Source organism: Homo sapiens, chromosome 5, assembly GCF_000001405.40.
Source record: "Homo sapiens chromosome 5, GRCh38.p14 Primary Assembly".
Classification (NCBI taxonomy): Eukaryota; Metazoa; Chordata; class Mammalia; order Primates; family Hominidae; genus Homo; species Homo sapiens.
The window spans coordinates 25567336-25584120 of record NC_000005.10 but is presented as its reverse complement, the minus strand read 5'-3'; the positions used below and the strand labels follow the sequence as shown (position 1 = coordinate 25584120).

The 16785-nt window shown below is 35.7% G+C and overlaps 1 long non-coding RNA gene across 1 annotated transcript, besides 4 other annotated features; it reads right to left on the bottom strand.

The window, feature by feature from the left end:
* Window positions 1–2333: 2333 nt before the first annotated feature.
* Window positions 2334–14297, bottom strand: LOC124901175 (uncharacterized). Its single transcript, XR_007059126.1, has 2 exons — window positions 11561–14297; window positions 2334–2662 (listed from the first exon to the last, which is right to left on the bottom strand). It is a non-coding gene; the product is annotated as an uncharacterized LOC124901175 (long non-coding RNA).
* Window positions 13557–14103: an enhancer, noted in NCBI's record as "NANOG hESC enhancer chr5:25570127-25570673 (GRCh37/hg19 assembly coordinates)". NCBI's record gives its function as "activates a minimal SCP1, AML or CMV promoter by ChIP-STARR-seq in naive H9 embryonic stem cells {active_cell/tissue: H9 hESC(naive)}" and the evidence as "EXISTENCE:reporter gene assay evidence [ECO:0000049][PMID:30033119]".
* Window positions 14779–15286: an enhancer, noted in NCBI's record as "H3K27ac hESC enhancer chr5:25568944-25569451 (GRCh37/hg19 assembly coordinates)". NCBI's record gives its function as "activates a minimal SCP1, AML or CMV promoter by ChIP-STARR-seq in primed H9 embryonic stem cells {active_cell/tissue: H9 hESC(primed)}" and the evidence as "EXISTENCE:reporter gene assay evidence [ECO:0000049][PMID:30033119]".
* Window positions 15287–15793: an enhancer, noted in NCBI's record as "OCT4-NANOG-H3K27ac hESC enhancer chr5:25568437-25568943 (GRCh37/hg19 assembly coordinates)". NCBI's record gives its function as "activates a minimal SCP1, AML or CMV promoter by ChIP-STARR-seq in primed H9 embryonic stem cells {active_cell/tissue: H9 hESC(primed)}" and the evidence as "EXISTENCE:reporter gene assay evidence [ECO:0000049][PMID:30033119]".
* Window positions 15794–16302: an enhancer, noted in NCBI's record as "OCT4-NANOG hESC enhancer chr5:25567928-25568436 (GRCh37/hg19 assembly coordinates)". NCBI's record gives its function as "activates a minimal SCP1, AML or CMV promoter by ChIP-STARR-seq in naive H9 embryonic stem cells {active_cell/tissue: H9 hESC(naive)}" and the evidence as "EXISTENCE:reporter gene assay evidence [ECO:0000049][PMID:30033119]".

The following is a 16785-nucleotide window of genomic DNA, read 5'->3' as shown; positions in this document are numbered from 1 at the left end:
GATTTGATAAACATATTCAATAAAGTCTCAGGTTACAAAATTAGTGTACACAAATCAGTAGTACTGCTATACACCAACAACAACCAAGCTGATAATCAAATAAAGAACTCAATCGCCTTTACAAAAGCTGCAAAAAAACACAAATACCTAGGAATATACTTATCCAAGGAAGTGAAAGTTCTCTACAAGGAAAACTGCAAAACGCTACTGAAATAAATCATAGATGGCACAAACAAATAAATGGAAACACATCCCATGCTTATGGATGGGAAGAATTAATATTGCAAAAATCACCACTATCCCCAAAGAAATCTACAGATTCAATGCAATTCCCATCAAAATCCTATCACCATTTTTCACAGAAGTAGAAGAAACAATTCTAATATTCATATGGAACTAAAAAAGTGCCCCAATAGCCAAAGTAATCTAAGCAAAAATAACACATCTTGAGGCATGACATTACTGGAATTCAAATTATGCTACAAAGTTACAGTTATCAAAACAGTATTACACTGGTGTAAAAACAGGCACTTAGACCAATGGAACAGAAAAGAGAACCCAGAAACAAAGCCAAATACTTACAGCCAACTGTTCTTCAACAAAGCATACAAAAACATAAACGGGGGAAAAGAAACCCTATTTAAGAAATGGGGCTGGGTAACTGGCAAGCCACTAGTGGAAGAATTAAACTGGATCCTCATCTTTTCCCTTATACAAAATCAACTGAAGGTGTATCAATGACTTAAATCTAAGACCTGAAACCATAGAAATTGTAGAAGATAACTTTGAAAAAACTCTTTGGAACATTGGCCTAGGCAAATAATTAATGACTAGGACCCCAAAAGCAAATTCAACACAAACAAAAATAAATAAATGGGACGTAATTAAACTATAAACCTGCTGCATAGAAAAAAAATATTTATTTTGCTATGCAGAGTAAACAGAAAACCCACAGAATGAGAGAACATATTTGCAAACTATGCATATGACAAAGGACTAGTATCCAGAATCTATAAGGAACTCAAACAAATCAAAAGAAAAAAAGCAAATAATCCTATCAAAAAGTGGGTAAAGGATGTGAACAGGCATTTCTCCAAAGAAGATATACAAACATTTATCCAAAGAAGATAAAGATACACAAACACATTAGTGTGCTCAACATCACTTATTATCATGGAAATACAAATTAAAACCACAATGAAATATCACCTTAATCTTGCAAAAATGACCACAGTTGAAAAGTCAAAAACAATAGATATTTGTTGGATTTGGCGAAAAGGAAGAACTGTTATACTTCTTGTGGGAATGTAAATGAGTACAACCACTATGGAAAACAGTATGGAGATTCCTTAAAGAACTAAAAGTAGAACTTTCATTTGATCTAGAAATCTCAATACTGGGTATCTATCCAAAGGAAAAGAAGTCATTGTATGAAAAGAACACATGCACACACGTTTATAGCAGCACAATTAGCAATTGCAAAGATATGGAATCAACCTAAGTGCCCACTGACCAATGAGTGATCAATAAAGAAAATGTAGTGTATATACACCATGGAATACTACTCAGCCATAAAAAGGAATGAAATATTTGCTGCAAGTTGAATGGAGCTGGGGCCATTATTTGAAGTGAAGTAACTCAGGAGTGGAAAACCAAATACCATATGTTCTCATTTATAAGTGGAAGCTAAGCTTTGATGAGTCCAAGACACACAGAATTATATAATGGACTTTGGGGCCTCAAGGTCAGAGGTTGAGAGGGGAGTGAGAAATAAAAGATTACATATTTGGTACAGTGTACACTGCTTGGGTGATGGGTTCATTAAAATCTCAGAATTCACCACTGTAGAACTCATCCATGTAACCAAAAACCACCTGTACCCCCAAAACTATGGAAATAAAAAAATAAATAAAAAATAAAAGTTACTATAAAGACCAGAAACACTACTTCTGAGTAAATGACAGAGAAGTTCTTGCAACTTTATAGAAGTAGAAAGGCATATGAATGTTTATAGCATGATGTTCATAATAATAAATTACTGAAAATAGAAAAATTCTATTTGTAGAACAATATCACATATAGGTCAATCTTTACATACATAGATATAGATAGATGTAGAACTCAGAAACATAATTTTGAGTGGTAAAAGCACACTGTATAATAATGTTATATGATATTGCACATGCAAATATAAAAATTTCATAATACCATATGTTTTTGAGGATTCTATATATACAGTGTATGCAAAGGTAAACAATGCATTTGAAATATGACCACTACATTTATCATAATAAACCATTTTGATAAAAGAAAGAATAGTCACTGAGACAGGATTAAATCATACTAATTTATTCTGAAATGTGTCACTTTATATACAGAAAAAATGATCAACTTAAGAAAAACCCTAATAGATTACGACTCTTATTTGTGGGTACGTGGTTGCTATGGCTTGGAAGTGATTTGTCGCTGACAAAACGCATGTTGAAATTTGATTCCCAATGTGGCAGTGTTGGGAAGTGAGACCTAGTAGGCGGTGTTTGGATCACAGGGCAGATCCCCTTGAATACATTAATGCTGTCTTAAGGGAGTGAGTTCACAAGCCGGTTGCTCCTTCTCTTGCTTGGATTCTTTGCAGATGCCCATTTCCTTCCTTATGCTTTCACTATGAGTTTAAACACAGTGAGAACATCAGCAGATGGGCTGCCCAATCTTGGACTTCCCAACCTCCATAATTGTGATCCATATACACTTATTTTCTTTATAAGTTACCCTGTCTTGCATATTCTTTTATAGCAACACAAAATAGACTAAGAAAATGAATAATTGTAGTTAATTTCTCTGCAGCCAGGAGATTAATTTCAGGAGATTATTATACTAGTTCTTGTTCTGTCAATGAAAAGTTTATGAACAAGGAAAGTACTTCCATTCTGTGGTAAATTTCCTCATATGTAAAATGGAGAATTTGACTTATATAATTTATAATACCATTTGGTGGAATATATATCTTTTTACTATTCTACTGCAAACATAAGCCCAAAATATATTATGAGATTTACAAACTGAATCTGCATAAAACACCAAATCTCACATTTATTACATAGCTATTTTCCTTGTTACTTACATAGCCGGCAACTATACATTTAAAATCTTGTTTTAAATCAAGTTGTAGCTCCTACTGGAGAAAATAAGTGGATAGCAATTTGTCTAAAATATCATCTTTTAATATGCAGCAAATAATCAATTATGCCATTCTCTTCCATCTGGAAAAATCTGCTATCATAGTGCCTCTTAATCTAAGACTTTATGTCATTTTAGAGGAAGCAAAATATAAAATGAAAGTTTATATTCATAAGCTACATAAATACAACATAGTCTCTGCTTTACATTTAGTATGCATAGGATCGCTACTGGATTTGAGACTAGCACTGTAGATTTTCGTTTTCTGAGATAAGTTTTATATAACCTGTTGTAAATTCTAGCTGGTCCAGCATTTTAAATAATAGTGTATAGAGATAAATCCTTTAGGTTGTTTAAGGATACTTAGCTTATTTTTTTTAAGCTATCACAGTCATTACAGCTAAGACTGTAAATTAATTTTGTCTTTTGTGTGGTTAATTTTATGTGTCAACTTGGCTAGGCTATGGTGCCCAGAAATGTCGTCAAACATCCTGAATGTTCCTCTGAGGGCATTTATGGATGAGATTGACATTTAAATTGGTGGACTTCGAGTACAGCAGATTGCCCTACATAATGTGGTTATGCCTTACACAATCAGTTGAAGCCTTGAATAGAACAAAAGAATGACCTCTTTCCAAGCAAGGAGAGATTCTATCAGAAGATAGCCTTTGGAGTTAAACTATGACATCAGTTCTTTCCAGGATCTCTAGCTAATCAGGTCACCCTGCGATTTTTTTTTTTCTTTTTCTTTTTAGATGGAGAGTCTCGCACTGTCATCTGGGCTCTAATGCAGTGGCGTGATCTCAGCTCACTGCAACCTCCACCTCCTGGGTTCAAGCAATTCTCCTGCCTCAGTCTCCAGAGTAGCTGGGATTACAGGCCCCTGCCACCATGCCCGGCCAATTTTTTGCATTTTTAATAGAGATGGGGTTTCACTGTGTTGGCCAGGCTGGTCTCCAACTCCTGACCTGGTGATCTGCCTGCCTTGGCCTCCCAAAGTGCTGGGATTACAAGTGTGAGCCACCACATTGGCCACACCCTGCAGAATTTTTAATTTATCACCCTTCAAAATTACATGAGCCAATTCCTTAAAATAAAACTCTATGTTCATGCACATCCTATTGGTTCTGTTTCTCTGGAAAACCCTGACAAATAAACCTTGCTGACACCTACATCTAAAGTTGATGTTTTTAATTCATTGCTAGGTAATGATACAAAATGTCAATCATTAATTTAAACAGTGAAGGTCTTAAAAGGCATTAAAAGTCTTTTTATTATTGCAAATGAATGTTTTGCTGCTTTGATCTTTTCCATCAGTCATATTCAGCAGGTTTTTTGTTGCTGTTGTTGTTTTTTTCAGTCTCTTCTACTGAATTCCTATGCTAGGTTCCAGAGGTTGAACAGGGGCACAACCTTCCCAGCATCAGACTGGATAACATAACTGGAGGGTCCATGACATGAGCATACCAGCTCTTCACACAGACTGGTAGCAGATATTAGCCAAATAATCTGGATGTCTGTTGTACTTCCCTCCTGGAAACCCTTGCTCTGGACTGAAAAGGGCAGTGAGCACAGCCAAGAGCTTAATATTATGGAACAAAGACACTTCTATATACAAAGTCCACTCAGAGCTGCCAAAAGTTGAAGTACAGCTTGGCTTTTGTACACCTGGCTTTGGCCCATCATACCAGTATAGTGTATGAAGAGATGGTCATCCTTATCGAGGCAAAGAGGAACTGGGCTGCCCTGGAATTTTTGAGTATGACTAAAAATATAATATACCACAACTAGAATATAATTAATCTTTTCCCCTCATTTCTTCTCTCTTTTCTTCCTTCTTTCTTCACTTCAGTCCTTCTTTCTTACTTTAGATGCATTTATTTATTTAATATCATTATTATTTCAGAAGTATGGGTCTCACTCTGTTGCACAGGCTCAAATGCAGTGACTATTCACAGGTATGATCATCACACACTACAGCTTTGAACTCCTGAGCTTAAGTGATCTTCCCACTTCAAGTCTCCCAAATAGCTGGAACTATAGGCATACAACCAGCTTCAATGTATGTATTTTTAATTATTTTCTAACTGTGTAATTCACACATGTATATACATCCTATTTTTAAATATTTAAATATTTCAAATATATCTTTAGAAACATTTGTATTTCTTTATTATAGGGTTGCAAAGGTGGACTGTGTTGACTGAAAGAAATATTACGTAGATACTACCTATTGCTTTTCGAAGAGGCTTTTCCAGTTAACATTCATAACAACTATGTATGAAATTTCTATTTTCTTATACTCAAATTAGAATTGAATTTTATTAAACTTATTGAGTTGTTTGTTTTTCTTTCTTTCTTTTTTTTTTTTTTTTTTTTTTGAGACAGAGTCTCGCTGCATCATCCAGGCTCCAGGCTAGAGTACAGTGGCACCATCTCTGCTCACTGCAACCTCTGCCTCCCGGGTTCAAGTGATTCTCTTGCCTCAGCCTCCCAAATAGCTGGGACTACAGGTGCATACCACCACATCTGGCTAATTTTTGTATTTTTAGTAGAGATGGGGTTTCACCATATTGGCCAGGCTGGTCTTGAACTCCTGACCTCATGATCTGCCTGCCTTGGCCTCCCAAAGTACTGGGATTACAGGCATAAGCTACCATGCCTGGCTTTAAACTTATTGTTTTAAATTCCGTTTCTAGCCAGCTTTCCACTAACTTGGAGTAGCACTTTCCATTGAGTTGGAATAGCAACTTAATTAAATTGGCTATATATGTATAAATAATGAGGTTTTTTTTTTTTGAGATGGAGTCTCGTTCTGTCACCCAGGGTGGAGTGGTGCAATCTTGGCGCGCTGCAACCTCCTCCTCCTGGGTTCAAGCGATTCTCCTGACTCAGCCTCTCAAGTAGCTGGGATTACAGGCGTGCGCCATCACACCCAGCTATTTTTGTATTTTTAGTAGAGACAGGGTTTCACCATGTTGGCCAGGATGGTCTTTATCTCTTGACCTCGTGATCCTCCCGCCTCGGCCTCCCAAAGTGCTGGGATTACAGGCGTGAGCCACCGCGCCTGGCCGAGTTTTTTGTCCTTATTTGGTAGTTTTTCCACTGTGCCATTAACATTTTGACAACATATTTCTACTTTTATTGTCACTTTCTGTGTCTATATTTATATATTTATTTTATATTTCCTTAACTAGAACTTATCATTAAACTTAAAAAAAATAAATTCTATTCTCAACTAGCTCACCTTACAGCAAAAAAGCCAGACAATAAATAGGCAATATGTCAGAGAAAGATAAGGGCTAGGAGAGAAGATACAGCAGGAGCAGAGTTAGAAAACAATAAGGTTTTATAAAAGACCTCATGATAAGATGACATTTCAGGAAAGACCTGAAGAAAAAGACAGTGATCTAGAAGCAGATTTATATAGCAGTCAAGAGGAAGGAATCCCAAGTAGAAGTTAGAGAATGTGCAAAGGTCCTGAGGTAGCAGCATGCCGAATGTATTTGAGGAACAGAAAAATAAATATGGGCAAAGAAAGTTAGGGTGATTAGGCAGAAGGTAGTGAAAGGTTATATATGATGACAAAGAAGATCTTTTTGTTTTTTGTTTGCTTTATAAATGAATGAGTACATCCTATTTGCTATTGAATAATCTAATGAGAAGGAATCAGTGTAGAAAAAGAACTTATGGAAGACAGAACCATTTTCTGGGTCATGATGGAATAAGTGAGAGTATTGGACTGAGCACAAAAATAGGTAAGATTTCCTTAGCAGGAAGAACCAATAGTCCCTCTGTATTAACAGAAGAGAAAGCTGAGTCTGTCCTGAGTGTGTGGAAACATGCACATGACAGTTCTCTTTTAATTGTCTTTAGAGTCTCAAAGATAAGAAAACAAGTAGTACCACTTAACATAAGGAGTAGGGAGAGAATATCGAGGATTTAGAGAGAGGTGCGTAGCCAGGAGCACTGACACACATCTGTAATCTCAGCTACTCGGGAAGCTGAGGCAGGAGGATTGCATGAGCCCAGGAGTTAAAGTCCAGTCTGAGTGACATAGCAAGACCCAGTCTGTAAAAATAAATAAATAATAAAATAGATAGAGAAAGGAAGAGAGAAAGAGACAGAAAGAAAGAAAAGAAAGAAGGAAAGAAAGAAAGAAAGAAAGAAAGAAAGAAAGAAAGAAAGAAAGAAAGAAAGAAAAAGCAAGAAAGAGAAAGAAAGGAGAAGAGAAAGAAAGGAAAGAAAGGAAGGAAAGAAGGAAAGAAAGGAAGGAAAGAAGAAAGAAAGAAAAAAGTATGAGAGTATAAAAGAGTGATATAGGAGAGCAGAAGATTAGTAGACAAAGGAAACGTAGTAAGTTAGCATTGAGAGCTTAGTGGATTTGCGGTCAAATTTAAAATAAAAGTAGTCAGTATAATTATGTATTTTTCTACAATCAGGGTCCAAGATCTGAGGAGGAAGAATGTCAGATTAATGAAAACTTTTTGCACAATAATGTTTCTATCTGAGCCTAGCCCTTTTTAAAGTATATCATTTAAACATTTAAAACAGAGAACTTAAACATCAGCTTCCTCTCTTCCTTCTACAGCTCTTTATTTTTCAAGCATTTTATTATTCTACTTCAAATGCAGGCTCTTTTTTATCCCCTGTAATTTCCAAATCTGTGTTTTTTCTTAGATTTATTTTCACCTCTACATGGTAATTCTTTGCTGTTTTCTCAAAATAAATTAGCTCTAAAACTAGCAGTTGTAAAAGTCTTATAATACTTACATGGATGAACTAAGAATTAAGTCTTGGACTGGCTCCCACATGTAATGAGTTTAAATTTAGTTCTTGTCGATTAAAAGAGTCAAACTCTGTAAAATATTTAAAGAGATTTATTCTGAACCAAATAAGAGTGACCATGACCCATGAGACAGCCCTCAGGAGCTTCTGAGAACATGTGCCCAAGGTGGTCAGGGTACAGCTTGGTTTTATAGATTTTAGGGAGACATCAATCAAGTACATTTAAGAAAAACATTGATTTGGTTCAGAAAGGTGGGACAACTCAAAGCAGGGGGGCTTCCAGGCTATAGGTGAATTTAAATATTTTCTGATTAACAATTGGTTGAGTTTATCTGAAGACATGGAATCAATTGAAAGGAATGTTTGGGTTAAGGTAAAGGATTGTGGAGACCAAGTTTTGTTGTGCAGAGGAATCTCTCAGCAGACTTTAGAGACAGAATAGGGTGTAAAATGTTTCTTATTAGACCTAAAAGGGTACCTGGCTCTTAGTTGATTACCTACTGGATCTGTAAAGAAAGGAAGGAAAACAAAAGGAGAAGGAGATTCTCTATAAAATGTGGATTTTTCCCAAAAGAAACTTTGCAGGGCAATGTCAAGGTATGGCAAGGAAATATATTGTGAGGTTAAATATTTTTTCCTTGTCTCATAATGTTATGCCAGAGTCAGATTGAAAAGTAAGTCACGATACATAGGCTCAAATACAACTCATCTGATGAGAATTTATGGTTTGTAGGGGATGAATCTCTAGATCCCTTAGGTAGGAATTTGGGCAAGATAAAAAAATCAGAGCTGAGTCCTCAGTCCCCACTCATGGCCAAAAAGCATCCCACAGAATGTGTATGCAGGCCAACAACATCAGATCCCATGGCACTAGGAAGGGTCATTCCTAGAGTTGTCTGATCTGGCCATTTGGTGAGGTCCTATGGTGCTAGGAAGGCTCATTCTTAGAGTAGCCTGGTTGATGGTAATAGTTTTAAATATTAGTGATTTGGATACTGGGGGGAGGACATGGTTTGAACTGATGTAATAGCCAATTGTTTAATGGGTTAGATGGAGTCAGGCCTAGGGTTTAATCTAAAAAAAAAAAAAAAATCCTGGATCAGATCTATTTTCTGAGCTGTCATGATCTAGGTCTTTAATTTTGCCTTTCCTTCTGCTCTATCTGGCATAACATTTATAAGAGATATATAATGCTAATACACTGACAAATACCATAAAGATAGCAAGGATTAGGCATCCAAGAAGGTAATAGGTAGAGTCAGAAGGCAGTAAACAACTTAAGCAGCCATAAACCCGAGGCATGTGTCATCATACTCTTTGATAAGACTCACAATATGCTTACCCTCCTTATCAAGGGTTATTTGGATGTTGTGATAAAACTTACTTGAGAATTGTTAGAACAATGTTAAATTAGAATTTTAAAAAGTTAATTTCCTTTCCAGCCAATTTATCTCCATAAGTATAGCATCCTGAGGAAAGTATAAATTAAAAGCAAGAAACACCTTGTCCTCAGTGTCTCAATTTTTATAGACTTGTTAACAGTAGACAAATCTATTTTCCCCTGACTGTTGTATTGCACCATATACTGGTATTTGGGAGAGAAAAGGTTTTGTCACATTAAAAGTCATATAATTCTAAAGTGTCATTTTTTCTTTGGCAGGATTCCCTATGGCTGTGTGCCTTAGGTGTCAAAAGACTTATAGCCAATTAATTGTTCTAGGCCAGACAGGAATGGATGTGGACAGGCATTTGTTACTTCTTAAAATTATTATTTTAAGTAAAAAGACTGACAGAAAAACCAAAAGGAAAAGTTACAAGACTGACTTCTTTTTAACTTCTATGTGTTGAGCTGCTGTGAGCTTGGTTTTTGTTATAGACTTATAGTTAGCTATACAAAACAGAAACATTGTTTTGAAAAATAAAAAAAAAACATATATACCTAGATAGATTTATCTTCACAACTCATAATTGGCAGTATTATCCCAAGAGGCTTTGTTACAAGGTATTTTATGCTGTTAGTACATATTTTCCTTTAATTTTATAGTAAGCCAAAAATTTTTATGGTTGGGGTAGATGTAAAAGTGACACATTGTACTTTAGAAGACAACTAACCTTGTTTTGCCAGCTGTTTAGGCATTTTTTGTACCCATTTCTTGATTTGGAGGGTTTGATCTTGTCCTAAGCTTATCCCTCAACACCAGCCCTTACAATCTTACACGCCCACCTCTTCTGCAATAGTCCCTGGGCCTAGAGGGAGGTAGCTTGTATAGTTCTAGTAGCAGAGCATTAGCAGTGAAACGGATCTGGGCCCAGTGGGATGCCAAATGAGGGAGATTTGTGTCTCTGGTTTTCAGAATACTATGATTTTTGTTTCCTTGGAAGTAAAACAAAAAGATAAATAACAATCATTGTTTGACAATTTTAAGAGTAATTTGTATGTCAGAAGAGAAAAAGGAACCTACTCTATTAGGGCACCAACTAAAAACATGAGGAAAAATTAAAATCTGGTACTTTCTAGAGGATTATTGTAGCCAAGAAATAATGATTTACTCTACTCAAAAAGTTAGGCCTAAAATCTATTATTAAATGTTACGTTTTACCCTTGAAACAATTTTTTAGCTGCATTTTTTATTAAAGAGAATATTATAGGAAGAACAATTTGTGTGCAAATTTAGTTTTAGGCTTATGCTTGCCTGATTATTTGCATAAAATGCAGCAAATAATTGACTTGCCATATAGACTCCTTTAAAGTTGGTTTTGCTGAAATTTACCTAAAAATAAGCTATTTTAGTTTCAGTTTTGGAAAAATAAACAATGTCTCCAATTGTTAAAAAAAAAATTATTGAACTTATGCAGACAACTATATTACATATAGTTATGCAGACAACTATATTACATAAAATTACAATCTGAATTTTGGAGGACTCAGAAAGGTAAATTTGCTTACATAAACATACTTTACCCAAATAACGAAAAAGAAAAAGATTTTTATGACCCCCCTTTAATCAGAGTAGCAGCTTTTAAGACAAGACGTTTGTTTACTTTGGAAATGGTATTTATAAACCAAACAGCTCATAAGAGTTATTAGACGCTATAGAATTTAGCAGCTTTTCCCCATTAGTCCTAGAAAAAATGCTCTCTGCTTATAAGGTAGCAATATTTTATGTAAATCAATTTTATTTCATCATGGAACTTTTTGGGAAACATTATTTCCATCAGTATAGGGGTAGCTTCAGTTAATATTCTGTAGCAAGGGAGTAAATGTCCCATCAAGTAGAAATTCTCTAGCTCAGTCGTTGTTATTGAAAAGTACTCACAGTTTTGCCAACACCTCCATAAATGCTCCACACAAAAGGCTATGCAGTGGAGGATTTACATGAGCAGATGTAAATGTCTTTAGTTTTATAGTACTAGAAAGGGGAAAACATCCCCCAGTTAGATATAGTACCCATTTTCATAAGACATTTAGATAAAAGGGGCTACAATTACCTTATATAAAGCTTGTTAAACATCTTACATTTTATAATTCTATTATCTTGTATGTTTTTATGTTCTGGTCCCAGGAAGCCTTTTTTTACCCCCAGACCATTTTTACCTTTTCTGGTGAAACGGGTTTGGGTTCCCAGCAGGGAGTTGCATCTGTAAGACCTATGAAGGAAAGCAGATTAGATAAGTCTTCTTACACAGACCTGTGATTCTGTGGGATGGGCACCCATGTAAAAGGGCCCTCTTAATCCCCAAATTTACCATGTCCTGGGTAATAGACATATTTGTTGGGAAGATATTCCAGTTATCATAAAGCCTAGTCCAACATGGCTTGCATATGAAACATATCAACTGCTTCATCTGGGGCACTTCACTTGGTATTTTATAGGGAGGGTTGGGCAGTCCCCTTCTCTGGGAAAGACAGATCTTATAATGGATTTATCTGGCCCACAAGGCTGATTGCTTTCTCAGGATAACACCCTGTGCATTTGGATCACATATACTCAGTCATTGTTCATGAATGAGCTGTGGGTCCTGCATTAATCCAAACAAGCTCTAAATTCTATAGCATTTAAAATTAAGAATTTTGCCCTTAAAGTGGTTATTTTTACAATCCAAAATCCACTATAGTAAAGGTTTTTTCTGATTTTTGGGTGTTGTTGTAGTTATTGTTTTTCAAAGCTGAATGAAACCAATTTACAAAATGGAACAATTCCTTTACATTACACCCTTTGGTTTTAAATAGTTACTTGATTTTGCCATTCCCCCATATCAACTATTTTCTTGGTAACCATAGGGCTCAGAGTTTTTTTGCCCTAGATTTCTTTTTTTTTCATTTAGTTTTATCTGTATAATTTCCTTCATTATAAAGCAACTCTTAAATAGTTCCTTAACCAAAACCCTTACATTTTTTTTTTGAAAATTGACATCCATGTGTTTTATAAAATTTTACCCAAAGTGTACTTTATGCTCCTATTATTTTAACTTTTAGTTACCCAAATTTCCATTGGAGGGGGTCACGGAACTGAGGTTTTAACATGACTTTAAGGTATTAAATTACTGGAGAGAGTTTTGAGATTAAATTTACCAAATTTATTTTTACCAAAGATTACCAAGGTCATGTGAATTAAAAGACATCTGAGCTAGTGTTTGCCAATTTGATAAGCATTTACATTTATTAAGCTAATTAATAGTTTTTCATGTAGTTTTTTAATAAAATATCATTTCTACATAACACATATAAAGATAGAGATATAACAGGCATGTAGAAAAAAAGACAGGTCCAAAAGGTATTTTATTTGCCTGTTTTCAAACATTTTCTCACCTACTTTAGATAATTAGTAAAAGTTACAGGAGGCAACAAAATATGAAGGAGAGAGCCATCATTCAAGGCCTTTTCGATATCAATCTGAAGATATCAATCTGAAGAATGTTAAATAAAACAGATTATAGAATACAAAAATTTAAAAATTTTGCATTAAAAGTTAAATATTTGTAATAAAAATCTTGTTTTAACTAATTTTTTAGTTTAGTATTTGTGTATTTTTAATATCAAAGACCCATTTCTAGAAAGACTATTATAATATCTTCTTAATCATAGCCAACTGAGTTATGCAATCCCTCTTAAAAATTCCTTCTTACTGACCTTACTATGACTTACATAGTTCATTCACAACATGTTTATACTGTTTTGTTTAAAATATCCCTTCTTTTTGTATAACTCTGTCATTTTTTTAATCTTAGGACAAAAATTTACCACACAAGATTCTTTCTTATATAAAATTACTTTTCTTTAAGCCTTTTGTTTTTTTTTTTTTTACCAAAAATACCTCTTTATTTTTATAACTTTCTTTATATCTCTCTTATTTACTGATTTATTTTACCTTGTTTCATATATAACACTTAAATAAGCTTTGAATTAGACAAAGATATTGATACAGCTCCAACGAGTAGAGGAACACCTGGGTTCTTGGTCTTGCACCAGTTTGGATAAAAGGGCACAGACACACGTGGAATGGTTTTAAGGAGCAAAAAGTTTAATAGGCAAGAAAGGACGGAAGAAGAAAACAGCTCCCCTGTACAGAAACAAAGGGAGGGTGGATTCGAATAGAGAGAAAAACCTGTGTGGGGTGGAAAAGTGGCTGCTTATATGTGGAGGCTGGAGGAGGTAGTGTTTGATTTGCATAGGGCTCAGGGGATTGGTTTGATCAGGCATGTCATTCATGTAGCCCGTGAAAAAACTGGCCCTCTCACCTTAGCCTTTTAATATGCAAATACAGGGCGCTGTGATGTTCTACACACATGGGGATATGTGGGGGTGGCCATGTTGCCAGGCACATGTGTGAACAAGGAAAAGACAGCGGGAATAGCTATGTTCGGGTGGACCCAGTTTCTAATGACTTGAATTTGCATATCAAAGCTTGCTGGCCTGGCTCTAAGAGCCAGGGCTTTCCTGATAGACAAGAAACATTTCTGGAGCTACTTTAAATGAAACAAAAACTTTCCAAACCCCTTTTCCTATCTGCCTAAAAACACTGTTTTTAACAATATTTTACCATTAGGAACATTAAAAAATGTTTTTCTATAATTCTTAAATTGGAAATTGCCCAGATACTTAATGTCAATTAATAACCTTAGATCCTAAACTAGGACAAGTTAGTTTACAAGCATTTATTCCATTACATTTACCTGATTGAATTTTATACTTTACCTAGATTATTTATTAAAAAACGAGGTCAGGAGATCGAGACCATCCTGGCTAACATGGTGAAACCCTGTCTCTACTAAGAAAAAAATACAAAAAAATTAGCCTGGTGCGGTGGGGGGTCGCCTGTAGTCCCAGCTACTTGAGAGGCTGAGGCAGGAGAATGGCGTGAACCTGGGAGGCAGAGCTTGCAGTGAGCTGAGATCGCGCCACTGCACTCCAGCCTGGACAGAGCAAGACTCCCTCTCAAAAAACAAACAAACAAAAAAAACTGTGATAGCCAATATTTAAAGTTATTTTTCTACTAACCATTTTTGTAGCTGTGAATTTCAGGTATTTACTTAAGTAAAAAAACTTACGGTTGGTTAGTTTTAAGGGTATGAGGGACTAAGTGGCTAAGTTGGCTGGACTTCCTGGGTCAATATGGACTTACCGAAGGGGCTTTCCCATAAGCCAAAATAAGTCATAGCTGCAAGCTAAGGGATTGAAACTTCAACCAATCAAAAAGGACTTTCCCCTAAGCCAAAATGAGTCACAGATGCAAGCTGTGGATTGAAACTTCAACCAATCATACAGGGAGTTTAAGCTCTAGCTGCAGCCTGACGTTTTTAACTAATCAGGCCCGCAAACCCACAAGCGGACTGAAAATAAGCTAATTCTATAGGACAGAAAAAGGAAAAAAGGAAAGGTCATAAGGGGATATAAGCATAAGACACCCAAGCCAGAAACAGCAACCCTTCTAGGTCCCGTTCCAAGTGGAAACTTTACTTTTACTTTCACTTTCGCTTTCGCTTTACTTTCGCTTTCACTTTAATCTTGCCACCGCACACTCGTTGGGTACACGCGTTTCTCCAGTCAAGCTGTAACACTCACCACCGCGGTCCACGGATTCATTCCTTGAAGCCTGTGAGGCCACGATCCCTTCAATTGAGAAAAGACCTTTGATAGGGAGAAGACTTCTCATCTCAGGTATTTATACCAATAATTCAGCATTTAGCTGTTTTCATTTAAGCCAACAATATTTCATAAGCATATACAAGCAAAGATTATTCTGTCTTGGGCTGGGTTTTATAGCTTATAACCCTTATGGCAAATCTTATAGTATTTTGCAGAAATAAACAGGGAACCACTTGATCAATAGATGCAAACAAAATGCTAACATTCTGAAGACATTGCTGATATTATCTTACTAATAATTTTAAAGCCTGCTTATTTAGTAAAGATTTCACTTAAGTCACGTGAACTTGAAAAATCATTTGACTAGTTTTTCTTTTTTTAAAGCCAATTAATTAGAGCTCTTCATATATTTTTAGTAGTGAAAATATTGTGTACACAGACATAAATAAATAGACGTATTTAAGCATGCTGATAGAAGTATTTTATAGATTCATGAAAGACTTCCTTTTCCCACTTATTTTCTATTTTGGAAGTTCTTGATAATATGTTACATCACCCTAGGCAGTTGTCAGCTAAGTAGCCCTAAATTTGCATATTAAAGGAAACAACTCAGGTGAAGATCAGAGAGCAGAATTTACATCATAAGGTATGGGGAGAAAGTCTGGTGTGCTAGAGGGAAATTAAAATAGATTCAATTGCCAATTGAACATAACATTATAGAAGTCTATTATAAAGGTCTTTAAATACATACACACACATACAAACAGAAACTTCCCATAGCTATTACTTCAGTACTTTAGCCATGAGATATATTCAACTTTGCCAGGTTTCAAAAAACACTGTTAGTTCCGAACAGTGGTTTTTATCTCAGTAGAAAAGTAATAGCAGTTTTAAAGCATGCAGGAAAGAAAATAGAGAATGAGAACTTAGAAACTCTATAGTTTCCAGGTCGACCTTAGGACTCTTTGGCCTTAATGTAAACTGTGCACAAAGACCATATTACTTCAAGTAGAGGTGCCATTAAACTTACAGAGTGCTCTAAAGGGGGGTCATTCTCCTGGTTTTCTCTTTATTCTTAGTTAATTCCGAGAGAAAAGCAATTGAGAAGACTCTTTAGAAATGCATCTCTGAACTTGAATTAGGATCCTTAAACAACACCTTCCCAGGAAAAAAAAAAAAAGCTTAGAATAAACCAAGGACTGTCAACCAAAGGGAAGTCCAGGGTTCAAGAGGACTAACCATTTTCACTGGAGGAGAAGCTTGAACTCGGTTGGCCTTCATTGGGCCCCTGCTAGTACCTTAGCTCCCATTTCAAGCAACTCCTCTGGGGTCCTGATTCTTCTCTGAGGCTCCATGTGTTTGGGCGCCAGATTATTCTCGATGAAAAGAGTCAAACTCTGTAAAATATTTGAAGAGATTTATTCAGAGCCAAATATATCCGTGGCCTGTGACACAGCTCTCGGGAGGTCCTTGACAACATTTGCCCAAGGTGGGGGTATAGCTTGGTTTTATATATTTTAGAGAGGCATGAGACATCAATGAAATACATTTAAGAAAACCATTAGTTTTGTTCGGAAAGGCGGGACAACTCAAAGTGGGGGCTTCCAGGCTATAGATCAATTTAAAGACTTTCTGGTTGACAATTGGTTGAGTTTATCTGAAGACCTAGGATCAATGGAAAGGAATGTTTAGGTTAAGGTAAAGAATTGTGGAGACAAAGTTTTATTGTGCAG